Below are 23205 nucleotides of genomic sequence, written 5' to 3'. Positions count from 1 at the left end.
TAGCTTTGGCCAATGTAGGAGATGTCTCTTTCTGTAATCTCCTTGTGATTAATTAAGTTCTCAAAAAATGCCCCCCTTCACAGAGAGAATCTAGATTCTCAGGTTCCATTTAGTTAGTCTCTGGAGTTGAGCAAATATCCTGTCTCCTTTTTATCCAAGTTACAGAGCCCAGACCCTGCAATTGTTCAGCCATTGCTCATCCCTGAGTGTCTTCTATGTTCCAAAAGTGTTCCATATATTATCTTTAATCTTCACGACAGTCCCAAGTGTCAGCTACAGTTACATGTTTTCAGGTACAGAAACTGAGGCTGAGAGTCTCTTATTCGTTCAAAGCTCTAAGACGAGGGACACACACACACACAGAGGACTGACTATGAAGCACCTCCTTCCAAAACATCCCAACTCTGGTGAGAGACTCCTGGGGAGCCAACTCAGTAACACATGAGACCCTGGGATTCATATTGTTTATAAAGTGAGACCCTGAAGCTGCACAATTAGCCCATTGATGTTATTCAAGGCTGTATTTTGAGGACTGGGCACTAGGATGAACAATCACGCAAAGGGTTATGAACAAGCTAGCTGCCGATTCACCCTGCAGTTTCTAAGGGCATTTAGAGCTCAGGTCAGAGCTCTGATCTGCCTGCATCAGAGATCTTCTCCATCGAAGGACAGGAGTGTGAAGGGGCTGCCTGCCTGGCTCAGATGATGATGCTCTCCTCTGCAGCAGCACCTGCTGCGTGTGCCTTTTCTGCAGAGGCATATCCAGGAGGGAGCCTGTGAGGTACTGGACATCAGACAGGGCTGGAGGAGACCTTAAACATCATCCAGACCAGTGACTTCCAAATGTGTCTTTATCCATACAAGACTTTACAGGGAAGTCATAGTAGATGCTGTTGGTGCCTTGCACATATCCCCTTCACTCACCCAGGGGTCTTCTGCAGCAGTTTTCAGCAGCGTCTGCATAAACATGTCCCTGCCCCCATGCTGAGCAAGCCCAAGGTGTGCTCTGCCGTCTCTCAAAGGCCCAGCACTAGAGAGTTCCGTTGTCACAGCCACGCCCCTGCAGTATTGCTTCTTTTGTTGACCTTCCTCCCATCCTTGTCCCACTTCTCCACTCCTTCATGGTGCTTTTTAAGATCATCTCCCAAATAAATGGATTGCACCCAATTCTCGTCTCAGGGTGTGCTTAGAAGAACCAAACAAATACAGATAATCCTAGGTTCTAGGGGAGCTCTGAGGTAGCCTTAGTTTGCCCAACTCAGAAAATGTTAGTCTTGTTCAGTGCCTTAGGAGATGGCTAGTCAACCCGCTCCTTGAGTATCATATATCTTCCTATCTCCCCATCCCCAAGACGCTTGTGTAGTACATATAGAAGGATCAAGTCTCTCTTAGTTTTAAGTGATGGGTAACTCAAACTGGCTTAAGCCAAAAAGAGAATTTATTCACACAGGAAGTGAAAAGTTTGGAGAGTTGAGCCTGGACTACCAGCAGCCCAAATGGCACCTTTGTGAAAATTTAAATGTGTCATCATGAAGGCACTATCTGGCCATCTGCCAGAAAACTTTTTAGTAAATAAACAAACCAGAATGACTTTGAGGTGAATGGCACATTCCAGCCCTGAGAAGAGCTGGGCTTAGGCTGCATCCAGATTTCTGTCCTCTCTCTAATGTCTCTCTCCTGCCATCTCTTAGAAATGCCTTCTATAGGGTTCATTCTCAAGTGGGCTCTTCCCTCATGGTGACAAGGCAGCTGACAGCAGTTTCAGGCTTATATCCCATTTTCTCAGCAACCTCGGTATAAAAGATCATGCCTGCTTCTTCCAACTGTACTGACCAAAGCCCTGGAATTATGTCTTATTTGCTGTGATTGGCCTGATTTGTGTCACAAGACACAAATCATGAATCAATCAGTATGGCTGCAGTGATGTCATGCTCTGCTTGGCCACGGCTGGGTCTCACGTCCATGGTGGAATTAAGGGAACATGTTAGTACTCCCACCCCAGCCCTAACACCCTGAGACTGGGAGGAGGGCTGGGTTCCTGAGACAAATCAGGGAGCATTGTTGGAAGAAGAGTAGTGGCTATGGAGGCTGAGCAGGCGAAAACAGTAGATGTCAATTCTAGCAGCGTGGCTGAAACTTGAATGTGCATGAGTCACCTCGGGATCTTGTTAGACATAGGTTCTTGGGGATCATTCTTAAAGATTGTAATTCAGAAAATCTGCGGAGGGGCCCATGAATTTGCATCTCTGAGAATGCTGATGTTGCCAGTGCCTGAGCACACTGCGTCATGGTACACTGCGTCAGTGATCATTAGATTTCTCAAGCTGCTGCTGAAGCCCTTGAAGCAGTGTGCCCTGGAGGCAGGCTTCTTTGAAGATCTGCGAAATATGGCCATAGAGAAAAACACGCAGCCATATTTTCCTCTCTCTCTTCCTGTTTACCAGAAGACAATGGGACTTGGCCAAAGGATGCTTGTGTGGTGTTCCTCTTTGAGGAACGTTATATGACAGCTTGGGTACCCCACACAAGACTCTTTACCCCTGCATATCTTTCCCTAAGAGAATTTTTGATTTGGGAAGAAGAAGGGATAGAGAATGCAATTAAGGACCCAGGGCTAGTGTGGAACAGATGAAAGTGATTTGTCTTTCAGGAAGGATAATGAGTTTCTGAAAGTAGAAATAGTGTAGGGAGGGACTGGATTTTTAAGAAGCCTGAAAAAGGCCAATGCCCTGGAATGGCTATATACTAGGATGGGATCCTTTCAAACACATCCAGATGTACCTATGGACTGACCTGCTGAGCTAGGAGCTGGGTTCAGAGGAGGTCTGATTGCTTTTACAGCTGCAGAAGTAGGGGCAGCAAGCTTGCATCCTATCTCACCTACTTGGCCAGCAGAAATGCTAACTTCAGTGCAGCATGATAGAAACATAATAAAGATGTACTGTGAGCCACATATGCAACTTAAAATTTTCTAGTAGCCAGATTATAAAAGTAAAAAGAAAGAGGTGAACTTGATTTTAATAACATATTTTATTTAACCCAATATGCTCAACACATTATCATTTCAGCACATACTCAATTTAAAAATTCCAGGTCTACATGGATGTAGCTAGAAGACATCATCCTCAGCAAACTAACACAGGAACAGAAAACCAAACACCACATGTTCTCACTCATAAATGGGAGTTATACAATGAGGACACATGGACACAGGGAGGGGAACATCACACACTGGGGCCTGCTGGGGGGTGAGGGGGTGAGGGGAGGGAACCTACAGGACAAGTCAATAGGTGCAGCAAACCACCATGGCACATGTAAACCTACGTAACAAATCTGCACATTCTGCACATGTATCCTGGAACTTAAATAAATAAATAAATACATATTCCATTTCGAATCCCACTCTCACACAGTTATGATTCTTCAGCATAAACATGAAAGCATGATTTACTTTAGAATTCAAATGTCAACTCTGGAATATTATAAAGGCAATGACAAGTCATAATAATTTCATGAAGTCATCCTTGCTAGAAAAAGCTGTCCGTCATCTGTAATACATACATACATTGTGACTGAGCCATTTCACATTGTTCCCCATATAAAAACCTTTGAAATGTGCTGTGCATTTTACAACACAGCACATCTCAGTTTGGACTGACCACATTTCAGGTGCCCAATAAACACGTGGGGCTAGTGGCTGCTGAATTGGATGGTACGTCTTTAGTCCTGGCAGACCAAAGCTGCCCACCATCTCTTCCTCATTTTCTTCCTCTTACAGAGCACTGTGGGTATCGTTTGGATGCTGAGCAGAGATAGTACCAGGTCTGGCAAAGGCTTAGCTTCAACGGTGGTGGTGGCTGTGTAGACTCAGAACAAAGCATGACAACTGGCTTGTTTTGTGACGAGGCCTCTCCTGCCTTGCTTGCCCTGTGCAATGTGTGAGTCATTGTGGGAGGCTGGGAGGAGGGGAAGGATGAGGTTCTCTCTATTCTGAGGGCTCGTCACGGGCCCTCGGGTGTGTGGGGGCAGGAAAGAGGGACTGACACAGTGGAGAATGGGACAGTGAGGGGCTTTGGAAGAAGGAGCCTGGATTCACAAAAATAGATCTGTACTCTGGGGTGGGAACAAAACTCAAAATACCATTTGTCTGTGCAGGGGAGGAGCAGGACGAGGGAGAGATGAAAGAGCTACACGCTTTTATGATTCAAACACTCAGGAAAGAGAATGAAGACCAGAGCCATTGGAAATGTCAGGCTCTGGGATTCTTTTTAAAATCAGATCTTAGAGTTGTCTCAATTTTCCAGAGTTTTGTCTGAAGAGCCATTTTTCTTTCATGCATCACACACCTGTTTTCAGTCCTTCCTACTTGATTTGAACATTAAAAAAACTTGCTTCATGAACAGACTTCCACTGGGTTCTGAAATGTGCAGATGTGTCATCTTTGAAAAGCATCTGGTCAAATGGTCCCTCACAAGACAGGGCCATGGAGCTCTGAGTCTTTTGGGAAAAGCACTTCACCCTAGAAAAAGTGACAGTGATCTCCAGGACTCATCAGTAGTGGCTATGAGCTCAGGCTGGGTTTGGCTCAGCCATCCTGTTACTTTTCTAGGCCTCTGTGAAGTTATTTAATCTCCCCAAGCCTCAGTTTCTTGTTCCACCACATGTGAATAATAATAGTTCTTACCTCACTGGGATGTTGGGAGGATTGAAAAAAAAAAAAAAGATGTATATTATGCTTAGCTCCATGCCTGGCACAGGTAATCATGATGGTTTTTCTGCAAGAAACACCAGCTCTTCTGGGCTCCCAGCCAGCCTCTGCAGTTCAGTGATGAGGCTGGCCAGGGAGAGTCTTCTCCTTTACCAAATTGCTTGGCTTTAAATTAGACATGACTGTGTAACCTGACAGATGCGGGAGATGACACACAGAGAGGAGGGAACTGGCTGTAGCTGCTTAGGGAATTGGCAGAACTCAAGACAAAACCCAGAATAACTATTTTCCAGTGCTTATTTAACAGGGTCTTCTGGCACCTGTGAGTTAAATTTCAGAAAGCACAGAGAGGCCATGGAGAAGGCAGGGTTTGAGTATGTAGCTGCAGAACAAACGCAGCAGCCTGATATAAAGGCAAATATGAAACCCTGAAATGCAAGTCTAACATATTCAATAGGATTGGTGAATATGTAGTCATGAAAAATCTTACAGTGAATATTGATTTGACATGGGAAAAACACTTTTGATCTATGTCAAGTAAAAAAACAGGAAATAAAACTGCACATAATTTAATGCCATAAATTTAAAATCAATCAATCAACCTATCTATCTATGCCAAAATGCTCTAAACCAGATGTTATGTTTCTTATCTCTGTTGGGTAATAGCATTTTTTCTTGAGGCTTTGGTGTATTTTCTACAATGAACACTTGCTACTTTCATAATCAGGAAAAACAATACAGGTTATAAAATATTTCCAGGCTCCAGTTCACACCAGGAAGCCTGCAGCTCATTCTCATCTCTCTCAGCCTAGCAGGACTCCTAGAGGCTTCAAAGCCTGCTTTGTTTACAAAAGGATGATTATGTGGGTGTCCAGGGAGATAGACTGATAGAGAACAAAGTGAGACATGTTTTATTGAAGACGATAACCAGAGTCAAGACGCTCTCCAACAAAAACCTTCAGTGAATTCAGTGGATGGCTGGTACAGAGTAAATTGGGTAAATGGCAAATGGGAATGTTAGCAAGCTCTGTGGTGGAGGACCATAGACTTCTTCATCTGTCTCTATGGGGCAATAATTAAAAATAAAGTTCAGCATGATTGTGATTTTTATTTAGTTGGGGATCAGTTAACCCAGTTAATCAGGAGTCTGATGAGGTCAGTGGCTAGGGTTCCTCCCTCCCCCTCATCTCACTGGGTTTCTGACCAGCTTGTCTCCAAATCACACGGGAATTCTGCTTCTATTCTCTCAGGCCCTAGAGTCTCACCTATGGCTGTCTTCCCATGCCTGTCCATTCTGTCTTTTTGCCCTGATTGAAGTTCTTTGGAGTTGGATCCAGTTGTTCTTCTCTGCCCAGCCTCTTTGGGTCTGTCCATTGTCTACACAATCTTTGTTGTGTTGACCCTACATTTGGCCCTTTGCTGATTCCTCAGATCCCTTCCCTGTAGCTTTGGGGCAATCAGCCTTGCTCCTCTCCCATGTCCACTGAGCTCACCCAGGTCACAGCCCTGCTCCTATGTGCTCAGGAGAGATGTCTGGACATCACTGGCCCTCTGGCTTTGCTCTGTGCCACTGCCACAGAGTCTCTGCAACTCTGTTATTCTTGACAGCCATTCTCCAGCCATAAGTCAGCACCAAAGCCTGGGAGATGGGACACTGAAAGATTAAAGAGGCCCACCCTATGACTTGGTTCTGCCACCCCTAGTTGGGAGACTTTGGGCAAGGTACTTAACCTCTCTCAGCCTCAGTTTCCTCATCTGCAAAGTGGTGACAATAATAGTCATCTGATGAGTTGAACTGTTACATGTAAAGTATGTCCAAGTTGTTTGGCACATAACCGGTACTCAATAAGTGTTAGTTGTTACGATGTTATTATTTTATTATTATAAAAGCAGCCTAACCTAAGTGGTAAGAGGATAGGCTCTGGAGTCAGACAGACTTGGTAAAACTGCTCTTCTGACTGTGACTACCTGTGGCATACCCTGTGTGCCTCAATTTCTTCTTCTGTAAAATGGGACAATACAGAGCACTACCTCTAGGACTTGCTGTCGAGATAAAATGAAATAATGCAATGATACACTTTCAAAATGCCTGATATATAGCACCATAAAATGTTTGCTGTTGTTTATATGACAGATGATGGTCAGCTTTTTCTAGCAAGGATGACTTTATGAAATTATCATTACTCATCATTATATTTATAATATTGCAGAGTTGACACTTGAACTCTACAGTAGATCAAGCTTTCATGGTTGTGCTGAAGAACCAGAAACTTATAAGGGTGAGATTAGGACCAGAATTGGCCAGCCGGGTTTTCCCTCTGTCCAGGAGAATGAGCTCATTTTGTCCTAAACCAGATTCTATTTGTCTTGAGTGCACATGAGCTGAAACCAAGGGGCCTCTGAATTGGGGAATGTACTGGCCAGCAGCAATGTGTTTGGAAGCATACATGGATCACAATGTTAAAGATGTAGCCTCATTGCTTCACATAAGGAGAAGTGAGAATCCTCTCAAAAATTATCATTTTTTTTGTTCAAGAATATAAAAATGACTCAAAATCATCCTAGGAATCACTAGGTACAGGAAAATATGACCTCATGGAGTACTTGGAGATGGCTAGATGTCTTCTAGAGAAAGGCAGCCTTTGACATCGTTACGAACCCTCCCTATTTTAGAAAAAAGTCATAAAGCTCAAGGAGGAAAACTTTCCTGCTTGCAAGGAACATGGTTTATGAAAGTTAAGCCTTGCCATCATTTCAGTCAGTCACAGATGAATTCCCATTTATTTCCTGAATGCTTTTGTAGCAAAATCTATTTGTTAGAAAGCAGCAAAATAGATTTCTAGATTTGCCAAAACAAGTCACTCAAGTACTAATGTAATAAGAGGTTGCTTTGTATATTAAATGAGGCTTTGATATCAGATATTCAAAAGTTTTTTTATCCATTGTTCTATTAAAGATGACTGGGCTTTATTAACCAGGTACCAGCTGCTTTTTCTAAGAAAAATAAGCACCAAAGAATCCAGGGACCAGGGCTAAGCTGTGAGTACATCAGTAGAGAGTGGAACATCAAATTGAGACCTCCGTTTTTATATCTAGACTTCAGGGCCACATTATCTATGCACCCAACACCTAGATAATTGGTGTATGCAGCAGGGAAAATGTCGTCTAGGTTAAGCCTGTTTACTAAGAAGCTCAGCAGAGAACAGCCCGTTGATCCTGACCTCAAGGACTATAGATTCAGCAGAGATGATGAAAAAGAAAGAGGTACCCGAAAACCAAACAAAACCACAAACTCAGCAGCTATCCTCAAGTAGAGTTTTTCTCTTACCCATTAAATAAAAGTGTAAAAATAAGCTGTGTAAAAAAGGAAAGTAAGGTCTATCTGCAAATGCAACAGTCAGTATTTTGTATGTTTTACAAAGGCAATGATCAGATATTGTTCACTAAACTCTAATGCATGTCTAGTGTGTGCTATGGCAAATGTCATGCAAATCAGTCTAAATACAGCAAGTCGTCTTTATGCTTTAACATGCTTACAAATTGCAGCAGGTGCGTGTTAAAAACATGGACTCCCTGGCACCACCTCCAGAAAATCAGATCTAGTAGGCCATGGGTGAGTCTGAGAACTTTCATTTTTCTTAAAGAATCACATTAGGTGGTTCTGATGCAGATGGTCCACAGACCACACTTGGAGAGACACTTGATATAGCAAATACAGTAAATTATAAGCCAAATCAGAACACTACACATTGTAAAAGCAAGAAAATTAATAAATCCACAAATAGAACTATGTAATAGTTGCATGAAAAAAGCCAACATAGCTAAAAAGCTGTCTCAAAGCTGTGTTTTTAAAAACTTGCAGGTAAGTGTTTGAAGGGGCTAGTTAACCCTTATATGAGGCACAAAAGTGAATTCAAAGCCAGCTAGGTAATTTAATAGATGATATTAATCAACGACTTACATGTTAATATTTAATGGTAGTCCAGTGATTCTCCACCCTATATGGATGCATGTTAGAATCATGTGGGAGCTTTTGATAAGCTGATCCCTGAGGCTCCAGCTCCAGTGACTGATTGACTCAATTGATCTGGACTGGGGCCTAGGCATGGGCATGGTTATAAAGCTGCTCAGATGACTCTGATGTACAGGTATGGCTGAGACTCTGTCTACCTCCTGTACCCATACTCTCTCTTTCTCTTCTTTCTCTCTCTCTTAAGAAGATAGGTTAGGAAAATACAGTCAGAGAGATTAAGCAATTTGTCCAGGCTATAAATGAAGTTACCAAATACTGACCTAAGCTCCAAAGTAAAAAAAACTAGACAACAAAATGGTCAAGGAAAGGGAAGTTACCCTGGTTGAGAGGAGATATGTGAAATCAAGCTGCTCTGGTCTCCCTGCAGCTCAGGAGGAGAAAAATCAGCACTGAGCAAAGAGAACTGCACAAAAGACTATCCTGTGGGAGCAGAAAGCTTTAAAAAGGGGACGAGTTAATGGGTGCAGCACACCAACATGGCACATGTATACATATGTAACAAACCTGCACGTTGTGCACATGTACCCTAGAACTTAAAGTATAATAAAAAAAGGGGATGCTTTCTTTTGATGAAAAGGTACAGAAAAGCACTAGAAGGTATAAAGAAGTGTTCCAAGGAGGCAAATTAACCCCTTCCTCTCGGTGAGTAGAAACTCGGTGGATAAGGGTTGCATGATATGGAGGAGGCAGCTTGATTGCCCTTGTCCTTCCCCCAACCAATGCTCAAGGCGAAGTTACTCATTGTTGTTAACGGCACTCTCTCCCTGGAGCCTAGGCCCAGCCTCAATGTGCTTAGCCGAGCACTCACCTGTCACTAATTGATCAGATTGGCTGCAACTTCAAATCTATCTGCCTTCTCTGGCATAATGGAAAAGGTATGGTCTTTGCACTTAGAACCAACTTTGAGCCCAGCTTTGCCCATTCCTAGCTGTGTGGTCTTGGGCAAATTACTTAAGTTCCTGAGTTTTAGTTCTCTCATAAGTTAAAAAGAATAGTTTAACGAAGAAGACAAAAAATACATATCTCATAATATTTTGTGAGGCAAGGACAAGAAGAGTGTCTGGCACATGGTAGGTCCTTAATAATGATAACCAGAATTATTGGGTGTCTGGGAATAAATATGATAAACGGCCTTGAGGTAGAAATATGAACGTAGGTAAGACTCCAAAATGGAGCCTTGGAAGGCCTCCCTTAGTGCAAACCTTAGCCCGTGTGCAAATCCACATTTGAAAAGGAACTTTCAAGCTGCGAATGAAATAAGCGAGACTCGCCAAATCACATGAGCTCACTGTATGACCCGCTGGCTACACATGGAAGAAATGCTGCTATGACAAAGCAATTCTCTGCTCTGTGATGTTTGCAATTAGTCCCTCAATTAAGAGAACATTAGGAAAAAGAAAGTCACTCAGGGGCCAGAACCTGAAAAGAAGAAGCCAAAGAAGGGAGGTCTCTGCCTATCTCCCCTGCCCACAGGGCCATCTTCTCTCATCTCATCCTAACCGCAGCCACACGAGGTCTATTATTATCATGATGGCACCTAGTTCACCAATCAGAAAATTGAGGTCAGAGAAGAGAAATATCCTTCATGGAAGTGGTGGAGCTGAAATCTGAATTTATGTATTTAAACCCCAGAACCTGAGTTCCTTACCAGGTATTAGACACAGTCATCTAGACTCCTTGGTAAAAAAACGAAGAAACAAAATTCTTCCAGGGAAACATGCGTGTAATATTCTTCTGCTCTTGGGTCACTCCGATTATTGAAATAATCTGTAAGCAACAGCCATTTCCACTAAATAAGAGCCCTGTTCCTCCTGTCAGTTATATTTAGTTCAACGAGAGAATTATGGAGGGCAAAGTAGTTGTAAGCTAGTCAGTGGTTATTTGTGGATGTTTATCAATTTGCTTTGATTTGCCCATATTAAAGAATGAGAGAATTCAAATACTTTATTAAATATTCTTCCATGTGAGAAACTTCATAAAGTAACACTTCAGGTCCTTTAATAGTTTGAACTGCTGTCCTTGGCAAGGAACACAGAACCTGATATGAAGAAAGTAAAACAAATCCAGTATCTCTATGTGCTCTGTGCTACATACAGAATCAAGATAAAATCTCATGGAACAAAAGTTAGGTAGGTAACTAAGAATGCACAACGATAGTTTTCTTCTTTTATACTGGATTATGAGGGCTGTGTGGTATGGTATCTCTGGATTGGTGTCCATGAGGTTGGGCCTCTCAGCAGCAGAGATGGTAGGGCCCTCATGGAGGGGCTGGGGTTTGTGGTAGGTATTTGGATAGAGCTGGCAGAGGCTTAGAAACCAATGGCTTTTAAACCTTCTCAGAATGCACTTTCTTTTCCTGCAGGTAAGAGAGAGAGCATTTTATTTTAGAGAAGGATTTGTGGTTTGAATTAGAATAGCACTATTGTGACAAAGTTGGCTTTCAGTCTAAGTGATATATTTGCTGAAAATTGTATCTGTGCCTTCAGCGGGAGCTCACAGTGGTTTATAGCTTACAACTATGTTTTGAAAATAAGTCCATAAGCAGTAAGAGAGCAGAAGTTCTTTAGAGTTATGTTGATTTAAATGTCATTTTCTATCATCCTAGGAGTTACGATGGTATAGGTTTGGTTCCCTGGATGAATGTTGGAGCTAGTTCTTTCATATAGCAATATAGTTTTGAATGCTTCTAGGATTTTATGAAAAAAAAAAGGTATTTGATATTTGGTCACATTTGAACTAAATCCTTGAAGTGCTTAAAAATGTGCTGGGAAATTTTGACAAAATTTTCTCAAATGGTGTCTATTTCTTTCTTGTAAATCCACCTATCAAAAGGTGAAGTGAAATGTCACATCAGGTAGATCAGGGATTATTCATTTGAAAAGTTTATGAGATGATATGGTCCAGGCCATGGAAAGGATTAAGTATTCAATGAAACCTAGAGAAACCTCAAAGACAGTCAGACCAGAGATCTCAGAATACCAAATGGATCTTCAAACCTCTCAGTTTCCCTCAAGCTCTAAAATGCATGGATTGCATGATGTGACGAATGTTAAAAATGGCATCTCAGACCACGTCTGCCTGAATTTTTGTGTCCTGGAAACTGAATTGGCAAATGGAAGGCAAGGCCTAACTGGCAATGCTTAGACAAAAAAAGTGCCCAGAAGTCTCAGTATATTTAGAATGATACTTTGCTCAATAGAAAATTAATGAGGTAGAGAAAATGATATTTTCAAGTCTTCAAGGATTCTTTGGAGGAAACGAGGCTAAATAATGGCCATCTTAAATTGCAAAGGCAGAAGCCAGGAATCGCAACTGTTAAATTCAGTTTAGCCTAAAGCTGCCTCCTTACATATTTTATATTCAGTAAAGGTTTCTCTGTACATAGTGAACTATAACCTACCTGGATGTGTAAATAGACCATAACCTTTTACCAGGTTTAGGCCAATCAAAGGTGGCCAACTGTTTGAACCATGTTCAAATATGACAAACACCTAGTTGTAACCAACCCAGCTGTGGCTGTTTCAGTATCTCATCTCTGTTTTCTGTACATCACTTTTTTTCTGTCCATAAATCTTCTTTGACCATGTGTTAGCATTGGAGCCTCTCTGAACCTGTTCTTATTTGGAGGCTACCTGATTCATCATTTTTTGCTGAATTAAGGTCTGTTAAATTTAGTTTGTTTAAGGTTTTTCTTTTTCTTTCTTTTTTTTTTTTATGAGACAGAATCTTGCTCTGTCACCCAGACTGCAGTGCAGTGGCATGATATCAGCTCACTGCAACCTTTGCCTCCTGGGTTCAAGCTATTCTTCTGCCTCAGCCTCTCAAGTAGCTGGGACTACAGGTGCATGCCACCATGCCTGGCTAATTTTTGTATTTTTAGTAGAGACAGGGTTTTACCATATTGACCAGGCTGGTCTCAAACTCCTGACCTCATGATCCGCCCGCCTTGGCCTCCCAAAGTGCTGGAATTACAGGCATGAGCCACCGTGCCTAGCCAGGTTTTTCTTTTAACATTACATTTGAACATATGATCCATCAGTCCTAAAGAAACTAAAAGCAATGCAAAATGAATTGGTAATGAATTCATGGAAAATACAAGCACTATTCTAGAAATGGGTTATGAATCACTGAATTAGGAACATTAAGAAGCAAACAGATTATTCTATTCTGGGAATTTTATGTGCTTTCTACTTGCCTTTATTATTTTATTTGGCTAGTATATTTTACTATTTCCAATATTAGATCTTTTTTCAATTATTAGTAACTTTTTAATAACATGAATCCTTAGGTTATAATTTAATTTAGGAAATAAATAGAAAATAAAATATTTTTGAAATATTTTAATAGCAAGATTTTTGGTAGGGGGCAGGGGAGGGAGTGGTAATAAACAAAAGAACTAAGTTGCATATTGCTGGTCCTAAAATATCCTTTCAAAGCTTACTATGTGTCTCTTTATATTTACCATTTTGAATTGTATTTGTTTTCAAAAACTAATTGGCAATGGAAATTTCTTTTAAACATTCCCATCTGAATTTCTGCCCCATAGTTAAATCAGTTGGCTGATGTTATGTTCCGCTACATAAACCAAATTTGTTTCTACTTCAAAAACTTTGTAAAACATCTGTAAAGCAATCATTGGAAAGGAAATACTAGCCAAATAATTGTTAACAAAATAAAATCAAGTGGATTTTGAGTTGTTCAGATAATCAAAAGTGCCAAGAGTCAGTGCTTTGGCCATGGGGGCATCAAACTTAAGTAGAACAATTCAGGCTTCTAATATTTCTGAATTGTTTGCACTCAGCTTTGCATGACTTCTGGATTGGGTAGACAACCAGTACGTTCTATCCTAAACACTCCTGTCCTTTGCAGCTTTGTGGTGCTCCAGGGGGAAAAAAAACCCTGATAATTATAACCAGAAAAGAGGAATAGAAAAATCTAAGGCCCTAGGTTTTAAAAAGACTCCTTTAGAAGTGTTATATTGGGTTTAATTTTCAAAAAGGACATGTTCGGCCAGCTGTGGTGGCTCACGCCTGTAATCCCAGCACTTTGAGAGGCCGAGGTGGGCGGATCACCTGAGGTCATGAGTTCAAGACCAATCTCGCCAACATGGTGAAACCCTGTCTCTACTAATACAAAATTAGCTGGGTGTGGTGGCGCATGCCTATTGTAATCCCAGCTACTCAGGAGGCTGAGACAGGAGAATCACTTGAACCCAGGAGGCAGAGGTTGCAGTGAGCCAAAATTGCGCCACTGCACTCCAGCCTGGGCAACAAGAGCGAAACTCCAAAAAAAAAAAAAAAAGGTCATTGAGTGGGACTTCTGGAAAAACTACTTAAAGTGGGTTTGATTCAGCTGGAAAACACATCCATTTGCCATTTTCTCCTTCCTTATTCTTCCTCATTAGAATGTAGACACGATGGTTGGAGTTCCAGAAGTTGTCTTGGACGATGAGGTAGCTTTGAGGATAGAAGCCTTTGGCTAAGGAAGGTGGAGCACAAAGACAGAAGACGAAGAGCATTCCTGAGGACTGTGGAGTTCCATGCCAGCCTTGCATTGTCTATCTTGTTACTTCTGTGGGAGAAAAAATACAGTAAACCTCTATCTTGCTTAAGCTCCTTTCCTTTGAATTTTCTGCTCTGTGTAACCTAGGCATAATTTATGTACAATGTAACCATACACGATCATCACCTATGTGCTAGATGTGGAAACTCATGACTTTAAAGCAGGGGTCCTGAACCCCTGGGCCATAGACTATTAATAGGTCTGTGGCTTTTTAGGAACCAGGCCGCACAGCAGGCGGTGGGCAGTGAGCAGTGGGCGAACAAGCATTACCGCCTGAGCTCCGCTTCCTGTCAGATCAGCAGCGGCGTTAGATTCTCATAGGAGGGTGAACCCTATTGTGAACTGCTCATGTGGGGGATCCAGGTTGTTCCCTCCTTGTGAGAATTTAATGCCTGATGATCTGAGGAGGAACAGTTTCATCCCGAAACCATCCCCTCCCCTTCCATCCGTGGAAAAATTGTCTTCCACGAAACCGGTCCCTGGTGCCAAAAAGGTTGGGGACTGCTGCTTTAAAGGATGGGTAGCTGCAAATTGCTTAGCTGCAATCTTAACAGTCACCTATTGTCCTATTATTGTTTAAATAATCACAATGATGTTGCTAACATGTAATAGTAAGGCAATATTCATATAAATCCATCTTCCTCTAACATAATCTATCTTAAATTAATCCCTAAATCATCTCTCAATTGAGAAAGCATCTATGATAACGTATCTCATTCCCACTTCCAACTGGTCTTAGTTTTATCCATGTAAATTCTGATTCTTTATATTTCTTTCAATTTCTGAATATGGTTCAGGAATACCAACTATGTATTATATACGCCACCTCTCTTCAATCCTGTGTCCATCCCAGATATTAATAGTTGATGGTGGCATTTTCTCTATGTCAGCCTCTTTCTCATAAAACTTTCTACCTAGTGCCAGGCAGCTCCCAGAACTTTATCAGAATTGGCAGCAGACATACATTTATTCTAAGCCACTTTCAACAATTTTTAAAATGTTGGGTGGGGCTGAATATGATAAATTAATTATTTTTCTTCAAGTTGACATGTTGGAAGAATTCTCTTTGTGTATTATAAACTTCCAGCTTGTTGAACAAATGCTGATTTTATGTCCTAGGTTTTGAGGAAAGGCAAATGGGGGCACATTTTGCTGACAGTAGCTCTGGTTTCAATACAAATTAGTGAGTTTTAGTGAATAGGCCACATTTATTGAGCACCCACTGTTTACAAAGCATTAAATAATGAGGATATTTACAAAGTATTAAATAGAGACGGAAATCCAATGGTCCCTGTCTTTATGGAGTTATAATCATTTTAATGAGAGCAATAGAATAAACAAAAAAAATTTAACAGTTGTAGCTGATGGTTTGTCAAAGACCTTCAAGGCAAAGAAACTTAAATTGTAAATGTTACCTCTGCCACAACTGTTGAAATAGTAATAGCCAATCCTCAAGAGGACTTCTGTGTTGGGCTCTGTGAGCTATGACTTTTCTATGGGTAGTGGGGCTGCATGGCTCATCCCCATTTCCTCACCCCCAGAACTGCTCTCTAGATACACAAAGGTGGACTTGCAACAGCCATGTCCACTACATGACCACTGGGGCCACTCCCCATCCTGACCATGGTTGATTGACCTGATGCAAACTGAGCCAATGACATTCTCCCTCCCTGGAGTTTGCCTTTGGAATGAAGAGGCTAGAGACTGTAAACACTGAAGCCAAGCCACACATGCCCGTGTGTTCCAGAAAGAGGGGCACAACTGCTGCTGCCAGGATCCAGAGTTGTTCTAAATCCTGCTCTCTCAGATTTGCCAAGCTTAAAATCATTAAGAACTGCACTGAGGTCTATATGCAATAAGAACACTTCCATCACTCTCTTTCTTAAGATCTTTCTTAAACATTGATACCCCAGTGTTTCAATAATTTCCCTTCCCCCTCCCTCTCTCCTTCTCTCCCTCCCTCTCTTCCTTCCTCCCTTCCTCCCTTCTTTCTTCCCTTTCTCCCTCCCTCCCTCTCTTTCCTTTCCCTCCCCTCTCCTTTCTCCCTTATCCTTTCCTTCCCTTCCTTCTCTTCCCCTGCCCCCCAAGCTAGCCAGAATCAGATGTTATTACTTGCAATGAAATACCTTTTATTCATACAGGAAATTTTTTTTTATTATACTTTAAGTTTTAGGGTACATGTGCACAACGTGCAGGTTTGTTACATATGTATACATGTGCCATGCTGGTGTGCTGCACCCATTAACTCATCATTTAGCATTAGGTATATCTCCTAATGCTATCCCTCCCCACTCCCCCCACCCCACAGCAGGCCCTGGTGTCTGATGTTCCCCTTCCTGTGTCCATGTGGTCTCATTGTTCAATTCCCACCTATGAGTGAGAACATGCGGTGTTTGGTTTTTTGTCCTTGTGGTAGTTTGCTGAGAATTATGGTTTCCAGCTTCATCCATGTCCCTACAAAGGACATGAACTCATCCTTTTTTACGGCTGCATAGTATTCCATGGTGCATATGTGCCACATTTTCTTAATCCAGTCTATCATTGTTGGACATTTGGGTTGGTTCCAAGTCTTTGCTGTTGTGAACAGTGCTGCAATAAACATATGTGTGCATGTGTCTTTATAGCAGCATGATTTATAATCCTATGGGTATATACCCAGTAATGGGATGGCTGGGTCAAAAGGTATTTCTAGTTCTAGATCCCTGAGGAATCACCACACTGACTTCCACAATGGTTGAACTAATTTACAGTCCCACCAACAGTGTAAAAGCGTTCCTATTTCTCTACATCCTCTCCAGCACCTGTTGTTTCCTGACTTTTTAATGATCACCATTCTAACTGGTGTGAGATGGTATCTCATTGTGGTTTTGATTTTCATTTCTCTGATGGCCAGTGATGAAGAGCATTTTTTCATGTGTCTGTTGGCTGCATAAATGTCTTCTTTTGAGAAGTGTCTGTTCATATCCTTTGCCCACTTTTTGATGGGGTTGTTTGTTTATTTCTTGTAAATTTGTTTGTATTCTTTATAGATTCTGGATATTAGCCCTTTGTCAGATTAGCAGATTGCAAAAATTTTCTCCCATTCTGTAGGTTGCCTCTGATGGCAATTTCTTTTGCTGTGCAGAAGCTCTTTATTTTAATTAGATCCCATTTGTCAATTTTGGCTTTTGTTGCCATTGCTTTTGGTGTTTTAGACACGAAGTCCTTGTCCATGCCTATGTCCTGAATGGTATTGCCTAGGTTTTCCTCTAGGGTTTTTATGGTTTTAGGTCTAACATTTAAGTCTTTAATCCATCTTGAATTAATTTTTGTATAAGGTGTAAGGAAGGGATCCAGTTTCAGCTTTCTACATATGACTAGCCAGTTTTCCCAGCACCATTTATTAAATAGGGAATCCTTTCCCCATTTCTTGTTTTTGTCAGGTTTGTCAAAGATTAAATAGTTGGGAAAATTATTTCTTTAATCTTCACCACAATACTGGTGGAGTTGTGGGGGGAGGTGGGGAAAATATTGTGTCCCCAGTTGTCAAATAAAGCTAAGGCTTATGGAATTTGACCTGAGGTCACACAGCTATTAAGTGGCAGAGCCAGGACTCTGAGACAGCTAGGCCTGTGCAAGTCCAGAGCCATTACTTCCAGAAAATGTTTGATCTCACAGGTGGTGAAACAGGATTTGCCCATCTTCTGTTTCCCAAATCAACAAATTGCCTCCATATAGCCATGATCCTGGGCACAGGAATAGCAGCTCCCTGACATGTAGGCTACCTTGTCTTTTCCTTTTGGCCTCACCTGCTTTTGGACACCAGCCTTTGAATACAAAAAACCCTATGTGGAAGATGACAGCAACATCAGTAATCCCTTACCAACAATCCCCTAGCCATGTCCCCTTCTTTCTAAACATGTAGTTTAAAATCTACTTCCAGGAACGTTTTCTTGATTGATTTTATCCAGCAAGTTTTTATTTTTAGCATGTTTTTATTATTATTTAAATAATATTTTTATTTTATTTTATTTTAGATTGGAAAGAAAGGGAGGGAGAAGATGATAATACTCAAATCTCGGTGCCTTGCATCCTGGGCAGCTTCTCTTTTTATAGAGTGGGATATATCTTATCTTGTTCTTCCAGAATTTCTCTTTCTACCCTGCTCTCTGGCCAGAAGGATGACTGCTTGGACCACAAAAAATGGGCTCCATTTGGTCATGGCCAAGGGAGGGGTCCCAGTAGAGGATTACAGAGATGAGGAGATGAAGATTGGGGTAGGGATTCCCTGCTTTCCTCCCTATGAGGAACCTCAGGCTGGCTGTTTCTCTGGACAAAACACAACTTATTTTCCATTATACTTCTCTTCACTACTCTCTCATTTTGAATTCCAGTCACTATATTTTCCCCTCCTTCCTTCAGCTCTAGGGATGGTGGTAGCTCCACTGTTCCTATCCCTGGGATTCTGCACCTTCCCTTACAGTTTCCCTATGCCCTGCCTGCACTATTGTAAACAGTCTCTCCTTAGATCATCCTCGTATGAGCACACTTCTGCTTCCTGCTGGGTTCCTGATTGGTACTAATTGTAATGCTTCTCCTAACTGGTGCTTCTTCCTGTGTCCCCTCATACTGCATCATTTTTATTGGCAAGCAAACCTGCTGTCCTGTGGTCAGTGCTCTCTGGGAGAGTCCAGTCATTCAATTGGATATTCAACAGGCAAGCAGTTGCTCTGTGGATGTATATCACATTAGGCCAGCCAGGAATCATAAATTCACATTCAGAGAGAAGATAAGGCTGGTGTGAGTGCGATTTACAGAAATCATTCATTACATTCCCTTCCCACTCATGCCTTTTAATGGTAGCACTGTGTGTATTTTTGGGTGGCATGCTACCAGTCTTTCTGTAGAAAGGAGAGGGGGAACTGCGGATGTTGATGCTTTTTGTACAACCACTAATTGAGTTGGCTCTGAAAATTGAGTTCTATTTGAATTCCTCAGACGATGTGGACAAATATGCCCAACCTCATTTGATAATTGAGGACACTGAGGTCCCTAGGAGGCTAAATAACTTGCCAGATCACATGAGCAGTTGATGGCAAAGCCAAGGCTAGACCTGGGTCTCCTGATTCCTGATCAGAGGCGCTCGTCCATGAGTAGTAGCCTGTGTTATTGTTTCTCAGTACTATTCAGCTTAAGTTTTTATTTCTCTGCTAGAGGAGTTTTTCTCATCTTTGTTTTCTCTTACCAACTGTATTGCCCCCAGACTGCCCACATATGAAGCATACAGCAAAAGAAAAGGGCATGCTACTGGGAAAAGGAGGAGGGGAGGTGGGTGCTGAATCAGAGGCTGACAGTTTCTGCTGGCTGCCTGGGAGGGAGCCCTGCTGGGCCTCCTCTCCTATTTTACTTTGACAACTCCGCCACATACCAAAGGCATAAACTTGGCCTTCTCTGAGCTTGTTCCTTCTGTCCCCCAGATTGTGCTGGATGTTTTAAATGAAATGCATGGGAGTGGATGACTCACATGTGGGATGGTAATGAAATTTTGGAAATGAGTACCTACAGAGAGGCAGAAAAATTGCAGGCCCTGCAGGACTTCAAGATGCTGAGAGCTTATCCACGATGCAAGGGAATTATAAAAGTCTCAATTTAGACTTATTAAATAAGTAGGACAGGAAATAATATAAAATATATGGTACAGTAAGTTGATTTTTCAAAAGGTTCTCTTTCTCTCTCCGTTTCACTCCTTTCCCTGCCTCCCTCTCTGTGACTACCTACACATACACAAATAGGTGTGCGTGCTCAGAGATTCTATTACTGACACAAGATGAACTCCTTTTCTCCTCTTTACTGTGACCTAAGATGCATTTCAGCATGATGACTTTGGTAACAATTTTTGCACAATAGTTCTTCAGATCTGAAGACTGTCTTGCTTCCAGATTATAGGCTCCAAGTTTTGGCAAACATGATGCCATTTTGTAATCCTCTCAATGGTTCTATGGGTGTGAGCAGCACACACAGTCTCCTTATGTTGCAGCAGGAGAAACTAGGTGGGGAGGAGGGATAAGAAGCAGACTTACTGTGTTGTGGAAAAGTACTAGCTGGGGAGTCAGGAGGGCTGGATGCTGGCCCCGCTCTGCCGCTGACCAGATATGCAAGACCTCTGACCTCCATGGGACTCTGTTGATAATTTGGGCACTGAAGGACTTGCCAAGATGATTGCTAAGCTTCTTCCCAGTGCTAACATTGTGTAATGAGACATTTTAATTGTGTGTTACAATTTACATACCATTTCCACGTCTATTCCCCCAATCTTTACAATTCATCTAACAAGGCAAGGAAACTGGAACCCAGAGAGGATAAGGGATTGGTTTTGAGGACACAGAACTCATAGATAGCACAGCCAGGTTTAGAAACTGAGTTTGTGACCCCAAAGCCATGTTCAGCCTGTGAAGTTTTTTAAAAGGTATATGTGCTTTCACTTCTTATGGTAGAAAATGTGTGATTTTTCAACACTACTTTTTTAAAAAGGTGACTTTTCAAGTATATCAATCTGAATATTGTGTTCAGTCGAGCATGGTAATTTTCCATCCCAGAGCTGCTCAAGAGCCAGGCCATGAGTTGCTCTGAAGAAGGGCGAGCTTTGATCTCACTGGAAGCTAAAGTCCTCTGTAGAAAACCATCATGCAAAGTGCACGGTCCATGTACGTGGAAGTGTGCATTCAGCCTTGTGTTATGGAGGTGTCTCTGGGAATGTTCTCTTTACGCAGTTGCATTTGGTAAGTCAAGTTATATTTTGCATAAGCAAAACTCATCTGCCCTTTAAAGTGGTCCTCTTAAGAAATTCTTGCATAGTTTAAAAAGAGAAAGAATATTTTCTAACCCAACTTTACTTGGTCACATTCCTAGCTAAGCAACAGAGCAAGGGGGACTTCCAACTAGGCAGAAGGGGGAGACTTTGACCAAAGAGGGCGAATGGAATCAGCTCCCAGTAGTCACTGCTGCTCACCGCCCCTTCAGGACTGAAGCACTTGTTCCTGCAGCTGCTGGGAGTGTTGATTGTCCATAGCTCACAGCTGAGCCCCTGTACCAGGGTCTGCCTAAACTCAAGAGGGTGCCTAAGCCAAGGCTACGTTTCAATTTCCTGAGGCAGCCTGTATCCCATGACTGCTTGATACGGCGGTATTCACAATATAAAACCCTGGCCCCTTTGCTCCAACTGAGGACAACTCTGCAAGGCCAGTCAAGCTCCAGAGCTCAACTGTGGGCTTGGCTGAGGCCTTTGTTGTGGCTGCATCACAGCCCAGCTGATCCCTTTGCCCAGTCCTGCCTTTCTCACTCCCACGTAAATGTATTGCACCCCAATCTCCACCTCAGAGTCTGCTTCCTGGGACCCTGATCTGTAATACGCATCTTCCTTTCTCTCCATCCTGAGATGGAAGATTCTACAAAACTCCTTTTCTTTGATTATTATCAGCAATTCTCCTGGATGAACTTGGGAGGTGAGAACCAATATGGAGGAAAGCTGGTTGTGGCTGTTTGTGAATATTGCTTCGTGTGTACATACTGTTTTGGAAATTGGGAGCTGCCTTTCAAAACAAAGCCATACAAAGAATAAGTGATTTGGCAGAATAAATGGAATATAGAGAAAATGATGCTGCATAGTAAATTTAGAGGAAATTCTACCACATATGCAAGTACTTCAGGTAGGAAAAAATAAAGTCCTCTCTGCCTGCTTCCTGAGGGTCCTGTCTTCAGGCCACCCCATGTCTACAGCAGCACGATCGGGTGCACCTTCCTTCCCGTAACTTCACTGATGGTGCATTTCCTGCATGAATTCTCTACCCTAAGTGTCAGGGTATTTGTATTTGCCTTGTAATTAGCTTAATATGCTGTGAATTTTTCTCCCTAACAGAGAAGTAAAATATTCAATTATAAAATCTAAATAACTCTGCATAAAACTAGCTATATCCTAAATCATGGTCAAAACATCATAAACTGGTACCATAATCAATAGCATTTCTCAGGTTCTAATGTTCTAATGTTTTTGGACAACCAAATCATCTGTGCTGAGGGCCACACACAACTGAATTCAAAGACTGTTATGGTGCACGGGAAGTTATAATTGAATGATGTTGTCTGACTATCGGGTTGCTACATTTTTAACTATAGGTTAACAAGTATGAAAAAAACGTAACAACAACAATAAAAGCCACGCTAGCCTCTAACAATCAGGTCAGTTCTAACATGACTGTGAGGAGATTAGGTAGAAATTGTGACGTATAATTTGGAGAGAACTCTGGGATGGGAGTCTGATTTTGTAACTTTATCAAACTTATTCTAGTTATTGCACAATGATTGTAGAAGTGCTTAGAAATGTGAACAGCTTTTATAAATGTCAAATTATTTTATACATTAAATATGAATTATACACTCAATTTTCAATGTGGTTCTTCTATATGATAGGCAAGTACGGAGCTCCTAAGGGGACTTCTGCAGCTCCCACTGCCTTCCAACGCACATGGCAGCACAGCAATGCTGGCTTGCTTTTCCTTATTAAGAAGGAAGTCAGCTAAGAGGTGAATGTGACAAATGAGCCCCATAGAAGCTCTCAAGCCATTGACTTGGGATGCACTGACATTGGAGTTGGGTTTCTGGGGCTGTCATGATAACCAGGTCAAAAGATTCTCACAGCAAAGTGTCACTTGCCGGCAGGTGCCACACTGTGGCCCCTTGGCATCACTCATTTCCAGCTATACTTAGGAAAGCTAATCAATTTTTCATCTTCTCTTGGGAGTGCCAGCTTGAAAAACACAGTGTGAAAAATGCCCCTGCCTTCTGCCACAGAGGGAGTCCATGCAGAGAGCCCTACTGGCAGGGAAGGCTCTGAAAATAAGCCACTGCATCAAGAAACAGGTGGTGA

The 23205-nt window shown here is 41.9% G+C and overlaps 1 long non-coding RNA gene across 14 annotated transcripts in view, besides 1 other annotated feature; it reads left to right on the top strand.

Moving 5' to 3' along the window:
- Positions 1–23205, top strand: part of TNPO1-DT (TNPO1 divergent transcript) — a 245434-nt gene that overhangs the window by 163001 nt on the left and 59228 nt on the right. For 3 of the 14 annotated variants that reach the window (NR_186521.1, NR_186520.1, NR_186522.1), the window contains one exon: positions 14146–14356. The exons of 10 other annotated variants lie outside the window; for them this stretch is intronic. This is a non-coding gene — a long non-coding RNA (TNPO1 divergent transcript). Of the gene's footprint in view, positions 1–6918; positions 6988–14145; positions 14357–23205 lie in introns of those variants that run through there. One more of the 14 variants, NR_186519.1, reaches the window with a different exon arrangement.
- Positions 18566–19066: an enhancer, noted in NCBI's record as "OCT4-NANOG-H3K27ac-H3K4me1 hESC enhancer chr5:71930309-71930809 (GRCh37/hg19 assembly coordinates)". NCBI's record gives its function as "activates a minimal SCP1, AML or CMV promoter by ChIP-STARR-seq in naive H9 embryonic stem cells {active_cell/tissue: H9 hESC(naive)}" and the evidence as "EXISTENCE:reporter gene assay evidence [ECO:0000049][PMID:30033119]".

Source organism: Homo sapiens, chromosome 5, assembly GCF_000001405.40.
Source record: "Homo sapiens chromosome 5, GRCh38.p14 Primary Assembly".
Classification (NCBI taxonomy): Eukaryota; Metazoa; Chordata; class Mammalia; order Primates; family Hominidae; genus Homo; species Homo sapiens.
The sequence above is the reverse complement of the archived record's forward strand: the minus strand, read 5'-3'. Positions and strand labels throughout refer to the sequence as shown.